The 13723-nt window shown below is 56.6% G+C and overlaps 1 protein-coding gene across 12 annotated transcripts in view, besides 4 other annotated features; it reads left to right on the top strand.

Annotated features, from left to right (window-relative positions):
• EPHA10 (EPH receptor A10) overlaps nt 1–13723 on the top strand; it is a 51241-nt gene that overhangs the window by 35917 nt on the left and 1601 nt on the right. For 5 of the 12 annotated variants that reach the window (XR_946610.2, XR_001737124.2, XR_946613.3 and 2 more), the window contains 11 exons: nt 1994–2102; nt 5832–5893; nt 6038–6163; nt 7359–7544; nt 8360–8421; nt 8650–8853; nt 9146–9295; nt 9597–9790; nt 10388–10543; nt 10718–10826; nt 13207–13349. Coding sequence is in view for 5 of the 12 variants with exons in the window: in XM_017001080.1 (XP_016856569.1) it covers nt 1994–2102; nt 5832–5893; nt 6038–6163; nt 7359–7544; nt 8360–8421; nt 8650–8853; nt 9146–9295; nt 9597–9790; nt 10388–10543; nt 10718–10828; nt 13207–13228 (1382 nt within the window). In the remaining 7 variants the exon portion in view is untranslated. Of the gene's footprint in view, nt 1–1993; nt 2103–5831; nt 5894–6037; nt 6164–7358; nt 7545–8359; nt 8422–8649; nt 8854–9145; nt 9296–9596; nt 9791–10117; nt 10252–10387; nt 10544–10717; nt 13350–13723 lie in introns of those variants that run through there. The other 7 variants (XM_047418403.1, XM_017001081.2, NM_001099439.2 and 4 more) reach the window with 5 other exon arrangements.
• Nucleotides 1595–2095: an enhancer, noted in NCBI's record as "H3K4me1 hESC enhancer chr1:38192781-38193281 (GRCh37/hg19 assembly coordinates)". NCBI's record gives its function as "activates a minimal SCP1, AML or CMV promoter by ChIP-STARR-seq in primed H9 embryonic stem cells {active_cell/tissue: H9 hESC(primed)}" and the evidence as "EXISTENCE:reporter gene assay evidence [ECO:0000049][PMID:30033119]".
• Nucleotides 2096–2596: an enhancer, noted in NCBI's record as "H3K4me1 hESC enhancer chr1:38192280-38192780 (GRCh37/hg19 assembly coordinates)". NCBI's record gives its function as "activates a minimal SCP1, AML or CMV promoter by ChIP-STARR-seq in primed H9 embryonic stem cells {active_cell/tissue: H9 hESC(primed)}" and the evidence as "EXISTENCE:reporter gene assay evidence [ECO:0000049][PMID:30033119]".
• Nucleotides 2684–3183: an enhancer, noted in NCBI's record as "H3K4me1 hESC enhancer chr1:38191693-38192192 (GRCh37/hg19 assembly coordinates)". NCBI's record gives its function as "activates a minimal SCP1, AML or CMV promoter by ChIP-STARR-seq in naive H9 embryonic stem cells {active_cell/tissue: H9 hESC(naive)}" and the evidence as "EXISTENCE:reporter gene assay evidence [ECO:0000049][PMID:30033119]".
• Nucleotides 3184–3685: an enhancer, noted in NCBI's record as "H3K4me1 hESC enhancer chr1:38191191-38191692 (GRCh37/hg19 assembly coordinates)". NCBI's record gives its function as "activates a minimal SCP1, AML or CMV promoter by ChIP-STARR-seq in naive H9 embryonic stem cells {active_cell/tissue: H9 hESC(naive)}" and the evidence as "EXISTENCE:reporter gene assay evidence [ECO:0000049][PMID:30033119]".

Here is a 13723-nt window from a genome sequence, read left to right as displayed (position 1 = left end):
AGAGTTCACCTCCCTGCTCAGGGTCTTGCTGGCTGCTGCTGAGGCATGCTGTTCCTTGTCCCATGGGCCTCTCCTTAGAGCTGCTCACCACAACCACTGGATTCTTCCAGAGACTGTGAGCCAGGGAGAGGGCACCCAAGACAGAAGCCATTCATCTTGTTTCCTGATCTTGGGAATGACATCCCAATACTCTTGCCATATTCTGTTCATTAGAAATGAGTCCAGCCTGTGCTCATGGGGAATGGATACCAGGAGGTAGGGATGCCATCTCAGAGACTGCCCACTGCTGGCATCTTTCTCCGTTTCTGTGTCCACATGGTTGCCTCATTTCAAACAGTTCTTGGCAACTCTATTCCCCTCTATCCCCACCCAGACCCTCAGCCCTCTTTGCCTCTGGAACCCTGGGCTCTGAAATGCCCTCTCTGACTCTAGCATTTTTGGCTTCTAACTCTCGTCTTCTGTTCCTCCTCACTTGCTCTGTGACATCCGAAAGACTGCTCACTGGATCCTACCTCATCTCCCAGACTTTTAGCTCCTCCTGGCCCCACACCCATCTCTATCCAGCCCCTGCAGATGATCTCATCAGAAATACTCCCCAACTCTGCCAACCCTCATTCCCTGGGCACCTTGCTGCACCCACCTGCTAGTCCCCAGACTTGGACCTTTCTCCTCCCTGTGTCCCACGCGGAAGCTGCCTAAAGAGGTGTACTTTCCAATCTCAGTTCAGTCTTCAGGGCCACTTAGTACTTTTCCCATTCCTAATAGTTATGCCAAACCTTCACCTCTCTCAAGCACCTCTTCTCCATCCTCACTCCCACCTCAGCAGACACCCTCATTCCTTTTCTTCTTAGGCAGGAACTCTCTCCACTGCTCCCTGTCACCCACAGGAGAAAGTTTATACTCCTTAGCTTAGCGTTCAAGGCCCTCCAGGTTCTGGCTCCCCCAGTTCCCTCCATCTTCCCACCCTCCAGCTTCCTATTTGCCACTCTCCGCCTTCATGCAGTCTGTTTCCCAGACACAGGGGACGACTTGCCATTTTCAGACCCAGTGTGTGCATCAAAGCACCATCAAAAATCCTTCCAGTCTCCAGGTCCAGTTCAGATGGCACCTTTTTTTGTGAAGCCTTCCTCATTGGCTTTAGGAAGAAATTATTGTGCCTCTGCTCAGCTCTGCTCATTTCTGTTTCTTTTTTCATTCTACAGTTAAGATTTTTGTTTCTGTCTCACCCGTAGGCCCATTCACCCCTCTCTCCTCAGTACTAATGCAAACCAGGCACATAGGTTGGATGGATGGATGGGTTGATTGGATAGATCGATGAATAGGGCTGAGAGCGAGGGTCCTCTAGGCTGATCTCTTGGAGAAATAGTTCAAAGCAGAAGCTTTGGAATCAGGCAGAGACTTTTGGAGTGATGCTCAAATCTTAGGTTCACCACTTTTTAGCCATGTGATCTTGGGCAAATTATGTAATTTCTCAACCTCAGTTTCCTCAGCTGTAAGATGAAGATGGTAATACCTTCCTGGATTATTGTGAAGATGAAACAAGACAGTATAGTGTAGGCACATGGCCCAGTGTCTTGAATGGAGTAAGGTGCAGTTACCGTTAGCCCTTTTTATTATTGTTGGTGGATGGTCTGGACTGGGGGTAGGGAGCTCAGAGCAGAGGCCATTCCTCCTGCAGAGCAACTTTGAGTCCCTCACTGCTCATCTGAAAGGCATAGAGGGAGGCCTGGCCCTGCCTGTCTGGACTCCTGCCTCTCTGAGCAGGAGCTGGGCTGCTGTGGAGGTGTTCTGCCCTGAGAGCAGAGGAAGCTCTTGGGACTCCAGGTGCCACTGTGGTCAGTGGGACTGCCTTGGCGCCTCTGTGGCTGGGAGGCAGTGCCAAGTGCAGAGGTGCTATGGGAATCCTGCTACAGGGTGAGGACAGGAGTCTGCCCTGGGGCTTGCCTAGGAGCCTGGTCCTCTGCCTGCCTCAACCTCGTGATTTTCCTCCCAGCTGCCTCAGGGTCCAGGGACCAGAGCCCCGCCATTGTCGTCACCGTAGTGACCATCTCGGCCCTCCTCGTCCTGGGCTCCGTGATGAGTGTGCTGGCCATTTGGAGGAGGTAGGTGGCTGGCCCCAGCCTAGGTGACTCCTGGTGGGTCATGTCCCGTGCACATTAATGTGTGCTCACAGGCATCTCTGCCCACTTTGCACACACGCAGATTTGCACCTGCAAGCACACTGCTGTACAAATGTAGGCATGCATCATCCCGGCCCCTCCCCCCAGCTCACTGTTCATGTGGCAGCCAGCACTGCAGCTAGCTCAGCTGCTCTGGGATGAAGGGGATTTAGCGCCTTAACTCATTAAATGTCAGAAGGCATCACTGAGGAAGGAATCAAGCTCCGGCTGCTCCAGTGTGATTAGAATTCTCCGGAGGAGCTCAGAGGCCCCCAGCCCCTGTCCCCGGGCCTCTTGAGGCCCTCGAACACAGGAAAAGGGGGAAAAGACAGAAATCTTGTGTATGTATGTGTGTGGGAGGGGCAGGACAGGGAGGGCATTTCATAAAGCAGAAACCTCCCACCCCCAGCAGAAAGAAGCTTGCAGGAGGGTGAGCAGAGAAAGGGGATAGGAGGAAGACATAGAGCTTGAGTATGGTTCAGAGAAGATTCTAGTCCTTTTGCAGGCAGCAGAGGCCTTCTGCCATGTATCCTCCCCTTCTCCCCAGGGCCACACTCTGCTGCAGGCAGAGTCGCCCAGATGGGTCCCAGGCTGGGCGGGCTGGGGAGCCACATCTCAGCATCCTGAAACTGCCTGGCAGCTGGAACGACAATGGGCATTCATTTGGCACTGGCTAATTTGCTTGGCCTTGAATGAGGCACTGAAAGTGACTGAGTGGGAGAGAACACTGTCTCGCTAGTCTAGGAGCCAGCTCTGCCTGGACCAGGCAAATCAGGAGGGCAGGACAAGAGTAGGGAGTTCCTTGCTCGTGGAGCATGAAGGGTCCATGTGCTGGACCCGTTGGAAAAGCAGAGATGGACAGATGCCGAGAGCATCTCATCCTGGCTTTGCACTGAGAGGCTCTGAGAGGCAGAAGGAGGAAAGGGAGACAAGCAAGCCAAGAGCCCCTCTTCCGGGCAGAGGCTCTGCAGGACAGGAGCGCCCCAGGGACAGGTGCACTACAGAGGCGGAGCAAGCCAGCGCGGGATTCCAAATCCAGCTGCTCTGAAATGGGGAGAGTGAGCCCAGTCTAGTGTGGAGGGGTAGAGAGGTGTTCTCCTCCAGCATGCATGTCCCAGCCTGGTGGGCTGTCTGCAGCACCTCTCACACCGTCCTGGGTGTAGTACCTGCTCTGCGCCATGGTCCCTCACCTCCAATTTCCCTCCTCTCCAGTCCACCCTAGCTTGCCCACTTCTCACCAGACCGTGTGGTCCAGTGGAAGCCTCTCTCCTCTCCTCACCACGCACCCTCTTTCGCTCCTCCATCCACTCAGCCTTCCCCCCTTCATCTCCACCCATCTCTCCTGGATGTTGCTCCTCATTCGTGGAAGTCCTGTCACCACCCTGGGTGACTTCAGTAGCTGCCAGACAGCCTGTCCCATCCCTTGCCCCTCGGTTCTTGGACTTCTCATTCCCAAGGATCATCTCTTCTGTTCCTCCTGGCCATCCTCCTAGAATGCTTCACCTCGTTACTTCTTTTTTTTTTTTTTTTTTTTTTTTGAGATGGAGCCTTGCTCTTGTCACCCAGACTGAGGTGCAGTGGCATGATCTCAGCTCAGTGCAGCCTCTGCCTCCCCGGTTCAACTGATTCTTTTGCCTCGGCCTCCTGAGTAACTGGGACTACAGGCCCGTGCCACCATATCCAGCTAATTTTTTGTATTTTTAGTAGAGACGGGGTTTTGCCATTTTGGCCAGGCTGGTCTCAAACTCCTGACCTCAGGTGATCTACCCACCTCAGCCTCCCAAAGTGCTGGGATTACAGGTATGAGCCACCATGCCTGGCCTCACCCCAATACTTAATCCAGTTCCCTTCTTGGTCTGCAGACACCCTGTCTTTGCAGCTTGCTGTCTTGGCCACACCAGTCACACCTGTTCTTTAGCCTCATCACTGGCCCCTGGACTACTCACCACCAAACCTACAAACCTGCCTGCTTCTGCACCCATCCTCACCCCCTTTTCTCTAGAGGAGGTGATCCTCCCAGCCAGGATCAGTCCTTCCACCTATGGCTGAACCCCACCCTTTTGCCATCTTGGGAGCCCACTATTACTCCTAATGTTCCCCTCTGCCCCCCATAACAGTGAACATGTGTGGAGGCTTGGTAAGCTGACATGCTGCTGTCTGGCAGGCCTATCTTTATCCTGATTTTATTAAAGAGAAAATGGAGCCACCCAGTCCCACAGCTACCGAGCGGAGATGCTGGGAAGCAGGTCCCTGCAGTCAGGTTCCGAGCCCAGGCTGTCAACACCCTGCGGTGGCCGCTTCCCCCTGTGTGACAGCCTAGCTCCTCCTTCCCATCTGTATCTACATGTGATCATCTCTGTTGTGAAAACTTCGGAAACTCCTCCCTTGGTCTCTCATCCTTGTACCTTTATGTGATTTCTCTCTACCATCCCCTCTACTTTCTCTGTCCTTGGTCCCTGTGATACCCTGCCCCAGTTTCCCTCTGCTCTCCTTCTGTTCCTCTGGCGATTCTTTTGTACTGTCCTTGGTGCTTCCTTCCGCTAGCCTAGATGTTGGGGTTTCTCAGACTTATTCCTAGTCCCTCTTCTCAGACTCCATCCTCTCCCTGGGCCATGCTCATTGCTCCTGATTTGTATCTGCAGAGCAGGCCTCTCTTCCAAGCTCCAGACACACACACACACGTCGAACGCCCGTCTTATCTTCCCTGCTTATCCCCCAGGCCTGCAAACTCAGATGTCTAAATGTGAACTTTTTGTCTCCTCATCCCAGTAAATGGCACCACCATAAACTGTGGGCAACTTCTCCCTCTTCCTTTCTGCCATCCAACAACCTCTCAGCCCTGTGGCCCCTGTCACCTTCATGTCACTCGAGTCCTCTGCCTCTCTCCATGCCCATGTTGACCCCATAGCTAGAACCACTGCCAGCTCCTCTCCTGTGGTGACACCCGTGGCAGCTTCCACTCTGCAACTGGAGCTCTTTCTAAAGTAGAAATCAAATCATTGCACTCCTCTGCTTCAACCCCACAGGGGCTCTCCTCTGCTCCCAGAATAAAAGCCAAAGTCTTTATCTTGGCCAGCAAGGCCCTGCCCCTAGGGGCCCCAAGTACCGGCCTGTGGCTTTGTTGACTGTGATGCAGTCCTTTGGCCCGTGGCTGCCTCTGTCTCAGGAAGCCCTCCACAATGACCTTGGATCAGGTCAGGCCTGTCTGTCCCGTGTCCCAACAGTACAGCACCTTTCTCCTTTGCCAGCACTGGTGAGTGGGCTTGTGGCTAACTCTCCATGTTTGTTTTCCTGACCAGACCAGAAGCTGCCCCCGAGTGCTGGATCCGCTTGCCTTATTCACACTTTCACAAAACCGCATGCGGGGGCAGCTGGGGGCCTGCAGCCAGGATGTGGATTGGGTGCCTCTGGAGTTGCAATAATTTTCACCATGTGAAAGTAGCTAGGGATGGTGGTGGTGGTGACGGTTTGGTCTAGGGCTACGGTTGTATCTGTGCCATGGGGAGGTCGTCAAACCACAGAGAAGCTTTTAAACCAGCTGGACAAGAAGTTCCCTCCCCCAGGGCACAGGCCTTGTCTTTTGAAGGGACAAAGAGGTGCTGCCCTCAGTGCTCTGTAATGGGAAGGGCCGGGGTGGCCTGGCTGAAAGAATGACCCTGAACTCCCTGCCAGGCCCTGCAGCTATGGCAAAGGAGGAGGGGATGCCCATGATGAAGAGGAGCTGTATTTCCACTGTGAGTTGGCTGGGCCTGGCTGGGGAGGGGCGGGCTCCACCCTGCCTCACTCCTCAGCCCTCTGCCTTGCTACACTGCATGAGCCCGCTTGTCAGCCCCAGTGGTGGAGGCCCCATTCCTCAGGCTCATCTCTTTCTCTCCCAGTCAAAGTCCCAACACGTCGCACATTCCTGGACCCCCAGAGCTGTGGGGACCTGCTGCAGGCTGTGCATCTGTTCGCCAAGGAACTGGATGCGAAAAGCGTCACGCTGGAGAGGAGCCTTGGAGGAGGCAAGCTGGGCGCCCAGGAAGCCTTGTCCCCATCTGGAAGCCTCACCCACTCTATAGGCCCCGCCCCTACTCTGTCCACACCTCTATCCTGAAGCCCACCTCCACCCAGGTCTCTGCTCGTGTCTGGAAGCCCTGCCTCCACACCAAGCCCACCCTCCACCCAGAAAGTCCCTGGCTTGCCTGATTATAGGGAAGAGGATGGCAGAAGGGTCTGTGACCCTCTCCTGGTCCTCAAGGTCAGACCTCTGCACACTGCCACTGGCAGTTTAGTCCCAGGCCTTCATGGGGCAGTGGGGAGGGGCCTTTGCAAGCTTAGGGGCCAGACATAACTGAGTTCTAGTCCTGGCTCTCCCACTGACCCGCTGCATGATCAGGGTCATGGCCCTGTTTTGCTCAGAGCCTCAGTTTCTCATCTGAGAAATGGGCATGATATCTGCCTTCTGGGGGCTAATGTGGGGAACTCCCAGCACTCCTCACAGGGCCTGGCTGTCGGCGCTTGCTCTCTAAGGGCCAGTCTTCTGCTAGCCTTTCTTCCTGACTACAAATCCTCAGCCTCCTGTGCTCAGAGACGGTAGCTGCTTTCACTGGGAGCCTGACATTATCCCCTGACACTGTCTCCAGACCCGCTGGACAGAAGCCGGAAAGGGGCAGGGTGGAAGAATAGATGTCATTGTCATCCATCCTGGGTCACATGGGGTTTGATGGCAGTCGGCGTGCTGGCATATGCCCTGTCCTTTCTTTAAGGCTTGGAAACCTCCCCCCACTGAGGAAGGCAGAGAGGAATCCCCATTTCACAGAGGAGACAGGCCAAGAAAAGGAAAGAGATGGAATTCGAGGTCACACTGCTGGTACTCAGTTTACCAGGATTTAAGCTGGAAACAGTCCATGATCTGGAGTCACTTTTTTTTTTGAGACCGAGTCTTGCTCTGTCACCCAGTCTGAAGTGCAGTGGCACAATCTCAGCTCACTGAAACCTCTGCCTCCTGGGTTCAAGTGATTTTCCTGCCTCAGCTTCTCAAGTAGCTGGGATTACAGGCATGTGCCACCTTGTCTGGTTAATTTTTGTATTTTTAGTAGAGACTGGGTTTCGCCATGTTGGCCAGGCTGGTCAGAGTCACTTTCTCCTCGGCTCAGCCTGCCCAGCTCAGCCAGGGCAGTGGCCTCTGGCGGTATCTGAGGTGCTGTTTCCCCACAGGGCGGTTTGGGGAGCTGTGCTGTGGCTGCTTGCAGCTCCCCGGTCGCCAGGAGCTGCTCGTAGCCGTGCATATGCTGAGGGACAGCGCCTCCGACTCACAGAGGCTCGGCTTCCTGGCCGAGGCCCTCACGCTGGGCCAGTTTGACCATAGCCACATCGTGCGGCTGGAGGGCGTTGTTACCCGAGGTAGGGCCCGGTGCTCCCTTCCTGCTGCCCAGCCCACGGGTATGGGGGGTGGAAATGATGGTGTGGGAGTTTGGAGTGCCCCTGCCTCTCCAGGTCCTTCCCTCAGCTATGGGAGGGAGCTTCAGCCAGGGACCTCAGCTTTCACTGACTCAAGGCGGCCCTTCTCCTGGAGCGGCCACTCTGGCTCAGAATGACCTTTCTTTTCTTTCTTTCTTTCTTTTTTTTTTTTTTTGAGATGGAGTCTCGCTCTGTTGCCCAGGCTAGAGTGCAGTGGTGAGATCTCGGCTCACTGCAAGCTCTGCCTCCTGGGATCATGCCATTCTCCTGCCTCAGCCTCCCGAGCAGCTGGGACTACAGGTGCCTGCCACCAGGCCCGGCTAATTTTTTTGTTTTTTTTTTTTTTTAGTAGAGACGGGGTTTCACCATGTTAGCCAGGATGGTCTTGATCTCCTGACCTCGTGATCCACCTGCCTCGGCCTCCCAAAGTGCTGGGATTACAGGCGTGAACCACCGCGCCTGGCCAGGATGACCTTTCTGACCTGTGATAGGTCCCCTAGAATATCACTCCTAGAAAGAGTGATCTTTCTTAGCAAGCTTGTTGCAGCTCATGACCTTGGACTTTGTTCACCTACAGATGTCTCCTCTTTTGTTCCTTGGCATAGAGGACCCTGGGCTGGGCAGGAGGATGGCGAGATTAGGGAGCTTGGTGCTGGTTCTGGCTCTCGAGGCCCAGTCTGGGACCCTGGGGGGGAAACTTGTGTGCGTGCGGAGTGGAGTGGACAACTTAGCATGTGTGTTCCCATCCCTGGGCACAGGAAGCACCTTGATGATTGTCACCGAGTACATGAGCCATGGGGCCCTGGACGGCTTCCTCAGGGTGAGTGGCCCTGGGGCTGCCAATGACCACTTTATTCTGTAAAGCGGGCAGGGGTCCCTCACTTTTCTCTTTGGTAGGGCTTGGAATTGGCATCATCCCCACTGGCCGGGCTGACCTGTGGTCACAGGGTGAACTAAAGCCTGGCGAGAGCTAGGTGACCGCCCTGGTGTCACACAACACCAGGGGATCCAAGCGCACAGCCCTGGCCTCAGTCTTCTCCCTCCACAGCGGCACGAGGGGCAGCTGGTGGCTGGGCAACTGATGGGGTTGCTGCCTGGGCTGGCATCAGCCATGAAGTATCTGTCAGAGATGGGCTACGTTCACCGGGGCCTGGCAGCTCGCCATGTGCTGGTCAGCAGCGACCTTGTCTGCAAGATCTCTGGCTTCGGGCGGGGCCCCCGGGACCGATCAGAGGCTGTCTACACCACTATGGTGAGGGCGCCCCCAGCCAAGCCTGCCTGTGCCTTCTGGTTCCCACCAAGCTGCCCTGGAGCCCTTAACTCCCCACTTCTACTCCTTTCCCTGCCCCTCCACCCAGTTGGTCTTGGCATAAATGCGAGTGAACCCCACCTTGAGGTCAGCTTTTCTGTCTTTCCCAGATGTGAAGCTGGAGTTGGGGGTTGCCTGGGAGGATGACATGCAGGCTGGATCTGGGGCTCAGTGGGGTGGGGAAACCTGCGTGTCACCCAGTTCCTCCTTGCCCCTGACCTGCCTGCCCCTACAGAGTGGCCGGAGCCCAGCGCTATGGGCCGCTCCCGAGACACTTCAGTTTGGCCACTTCAGCTCTGCCAGTGACGTGTGGAGCTTCGGCATCATCATGTGGGAGGTGATGGCCTTTGGGGAGCGGCCTTACTGGGACATGTCTGGCCAAGACGTGAGTAACCCGTGGCTCCAGCTGCATGCCTTCTGACCCTCTCAGCTCAGGCCCCAGCTTCCTGACCTCTGCCCGTTGGCCCTCAATCTTCCTGCCTCAGGCCCCTCTTCTCTGTCTGCTTGCTTCTGGTTCTGCCTGGCCACTGCCCCAGGCTTCCTTGGGTGTGTGTGTGTGTGTCTGTGTCTGTGTGTGCGCATGTGTGTGTGTGTGTCTGTGTCTGTGTGTGTGCATGTGTGTGTGCACACACCATATGCTGGGGAAACCCAGAGCCTCCTCTCTGCTCCCCACCCCTGTGGCCCAGGTGATCAAGGCTGTGGAGGATGGCTTCCGGCTGCCACCCCCCAGGAACTGTCCTAACCTTCTGCACCGACTAATGCTCGACTGCTGGCAGAAGGACCCAGGTGAGCGGCCCAGGTTCTCCCAGATCCACAGCATCCTGAGCAAGATGGTGCAGGACCCAGAGCCCCCCAAGTGTGCCCTGACTACCTGTCCCAGGTACGTTCCCACATGGGACAGCCAGCCTCTCACCTGTCCGTGGAGGGCCTCCCTGCATGTTGCAAGTGCAAACCCACCGCCTCCACCACCCCACCTGTCCAAGAGCAATTGTTCACCCCATTGCCCCAGAGGGCTGTAGCCTGCCTGCCTGCCCAGGCCCACCTCACTGCACATCCTCCTGGTCACTTCTGCTTCTCCTGGATTTTGCCCACATCCCCGGGTACAATGACCTTTGACTGGAGAAATAGATGTGGTAATAGCCCTAACACATTTGTAGTTCCAATGAATCAAATATGTGAAATTAATATTCGTTGTTCCCAATATGAGTCACCAACCAGTCCTAGGCGTGTCCTACCCCAGACTGTTCCGGATACGCCAATACCTTTAGCTGGCGCTGGCTCTGCCTCCACCTGCCTGAAGAACCTGAAGCCCTCGCTTCTTCACGAATGCACAGTGCTCATGTGAGCCAGATCCAGCCCTGGGGCCCGGTTACCCTCCCCTTCTCCTGTCCATCCTCAGCTGGCCTCTCCCCGGGAGACCACCAGGTGTGGGCCCAGATCCCAGCTGTCGGTTGAGCACAGCTCCTCTGACCCGCAGGCCTCCCACCCCACTAGCGGACCGTGCCTTCTCCACCTTCCCCTCCTTTGGCTCTGTGGGCGCGTGGCTGGAGGCCCTGGACCTGTGCCGCTACAAGGACAGCTTCGCGGCTGCTGGCTATGGGAGCCTGGAGGCCGTGGCCGAGATGACTGCCCAGTGAGTCCAAGGCACCAAGGTCAAGGCCGGGGCTGGGGGATTCCACAGGCCCTGCCCCTGCCTATACTGGGGAGTCCCAACCTGTCCAGAGAAGCGGAGGGAGAGTGGAGGGCCTTCATGGGAGGAGCAGAAGTTGGGGACAAGCCAGCCGAGTGTGACCAGCCTTTGTTTCAGGGACCTGGTGAGCCTAGGCATCTCTTTGGCTGAACATCGAGAGGCCCTCCTCAGCGGGATCAGCGCCCTGCAGGCACGAGTGCTCCAGCTGCAGGGCCAGGGGGTGCAGGTGTGAGTGGACCCCATTCTTCCAAGGCAGGACTCCGGTGGGGGTCCAGTCCCCCAGCCCTGCCCAAGGACCGTGGCAAGCTGCGCTCCAGCAGTGTGGGAGGGAGCGCTCTCTTCCTCTGCTTGGGCCCAGATCTGGTGGGGCCACAGCTTCCCCGCTTTCACTGCCTGCCCCTCCCATTTTCACGAGTCTGAACGCCTTGGCTAACTCAGTGCCCCTGAAAAGAGGTTCAAATCCCTAGGGAGGACCCCTGAGATAACAGCAGGAGGAAATTCGGGGTCTCAGAGAAAAGCTGGGGCAGGGATGGGAGGGAAGACAGTGGGTTGAGATTGCCCTGGCTCATGCCCTACTGCCATTTGTACCCACTGGGGGCTGGGGCCTACCCCGTGGGGTGTTCCCTTTTCCCACAGACCCATTGACCAGTCAGACAGCGTGGGTCCTGGGGGGGTCTTCTTCTACCTGGCAGTGACTGCAGCTGCCTGGTGGCTCAGGCGTCGGGGGCTGGGCCAGAGGTGCATCCACCTCAGCTCCCTGTGCCTTGGCAGGGGCTGACTGGACACTGGCCAAGGCTCAGGCAGGCAAAGATGGTGCTGAGCTCAGGGGCTGATACCCAAGAGCCCTAGACTCAGGATCTGGTTTCTGTGTCCCCCTGCCTTGGGCTGACAGTTCAGGGTGAGGCCAAAAGTCCTGGCCAGGCCGGGCCATGAGAGGCCCTGGTGCTCCCTGGGGCCCCATGAGGCCCTCGTGTGCATTCCTTTTATGAACTTAGTGGCCAGGACATCTGGGAAAAGCATAAAGGGCCATGTTATCTCCCCAGGGACCCAAGAGCTTTTCTCTCCAGCCATGGGGAGGGTGAAGAGGAGACTCAGAGATGGGTCCTCTCTCTCAAACAGGCTGGTCTAACCCCCAGTGTACAGATGGGGGAAACTGAGGCCAAGTGAGGAGTCAGGAGCAGAGCTGAGGTCAGAACCCAATCCAGGGGTAAGGCTGGCTCTGGGGAGAGAGTCCTTGGTCCTGCCCTATGGCACCACCACTTCCCTGTACAGCCCTTGGGGACTCTAGAGGCGACTCCCCTCCAGCCAGCTCCGTGCCTTGGGCACTACCCAGCCTTCCATGGAGCCCCTCCCTGCTCTGACTTTGAAGAGCCCTGGCAGAAGTGGTTGTGCTGAGCCCACCGTGGAGTTCCTTATCCACAAGGGCCCCCGGGAATGGTGGGGCCCAGTATGCCAGAGCTTTCGTAGGGTGGCAGGAAGGCAGCTGGATCTCAGCAGGGCCACAGGGACTGAGTTTGTTTAGGCCGCCCGTGACACTTGTCTGCTCTGCTTGGCTGTGTGTTGGTGGGGTGGGATGGGGCGGGAAAGAGGAGACAAGAGGTAAAGATGAAAAAGACACACAGCCTGCCCTTGGGGGGCTCAGACTAGACCAGGAGAAGAGCTCAGGTACCAAGAAGTAATTCCAGGGCACCATCCACAGTGCCCAGGGCCCCCCAGGAGCCCTCTGGGTCAGTGGGTAGGTGGGCTGGAGGGGGAGATAGCCACTCTCTTAATGTGTGAAGTTGAGATGTAAGTTGAACAGGGCCTTGCAGGTGGGAAAGGGAAGGTTCTTTCCTTGGGGTGGGTGGAGTTTTCGGCAGGCAAGATGGCAGGCCTCGGACAAAAGGAGTCCATGCAGAGAGGCTAGCATGAGAAAGAGCCCAGAGGCGGGAAGGTGCAGTGCCTCTTTGCAGAGCACCCAGAGGTGGGGGACAGTGACTCACAGAGGTGCCTTTGGCCTTACCCTGCCAGCAGCAGCTCCCCTGCTCTTGGAATCTCCCCCCAGCCCCCTGCCTCCCTGTCTCCTGAGCACCTGCCCCAGCTCAGTGACTCTGGGGGTACTGGGGAGACCAAGATGTTGCTACCACCTTAGTCAGGGTTGGGGGAGCCCCCGGCCAGGTGCCCTCCAGGATCCGCCTTCCCCACCCCTCCTGGGAAGCCTGGACCAGCATCCCTTCTTGGGTGGATGGAGCCTCGTCCTCATCTCCAGCTACATCAGTCATTCTCTGCAGGGCAAAATCTCCTCCCCCTACCCCAGCTGTTTCTGCAGAAGGGCCCCTGGCTGTGTTGGCAGGACTTCGGTGTCCAGGGTAGATCTCCCCTCCACTGAGGAGTGAGGTCCCAGAATCCTGTTGGGTCCCAGGCCTCAGCCCTGCACAGATGTGATGTGGGGCGATGGCTCTCTGGGAACCCTCTACAGATCTATTTTTATATGGAACTTGTTCACTGGACAGAGGTGGCCTGCAAGCCCCCATTACCCTGGTCTGAGCTCACCCTGGGAGGGAGGGGGCCAGTCGGAGGGGGTTCCTTCTGGAGATGTTTTTATATTTCTTGGGTTCTCTATGCAGGATAATAAAAACTTGTCTGTGATATGGTGCCTCTTTGAGTGGCAGTTGCTTGATCATTGTATAGCTGGTGTGGAAGGGCTTCTGCCCCCTTCCTCGAGGACAGGGGTGTCCAGAATCTGCGTCTGAGATCTCTCTGCATAGAGGTGAGTCCAACACTGCTCCTGCCGTGAAAGATGTCCCAGGATCCATGGCAGGACGGTGTGACCCAGGGTACCGAGGGGAACTGGGTGCCCTGGGTATGTAGAGAAGTCTGTTACCCAGTCTCAGGAGCAGTAGAACCAGGGAGGTGTCTGAGACATGGTGGTGTCCTTTGCTGGGATAGACAGTACCAGGGAGGGCAGAGACCAGGAAAGGTGCTCAGTGCTCAGTTTTGGATATGTGTTTGAGATGCCTGTGGGATGTGCGGCAGAGATGTCTAGGAGGCAGGTGGATATCTGGTCTGAACCTCGGAGCACAGATGTAAGTTAGAGACAGAGCTTTGGGGTCATCAGCATTCAGATGGGGGTAGAAGCCAGGA

The sequence above is a fragment of the Homo sapiens genome, chromosome 1, assembly GCF_000001405.40.
Source record: "Homo sapiens chromosome 1, GRCh38.p14 Primary Assembly".
Lineage (NCBI taxonomy): Eukaryota > Metazoa > Chordata > Mammalia > Primates > Hominidae > Homo > Homo sapiens.
The sequence above is the reverse complement of the archived record's forward strand: the minus strand, read 5'-3'. Positions and strand labels throughout refer to the sequence as shown.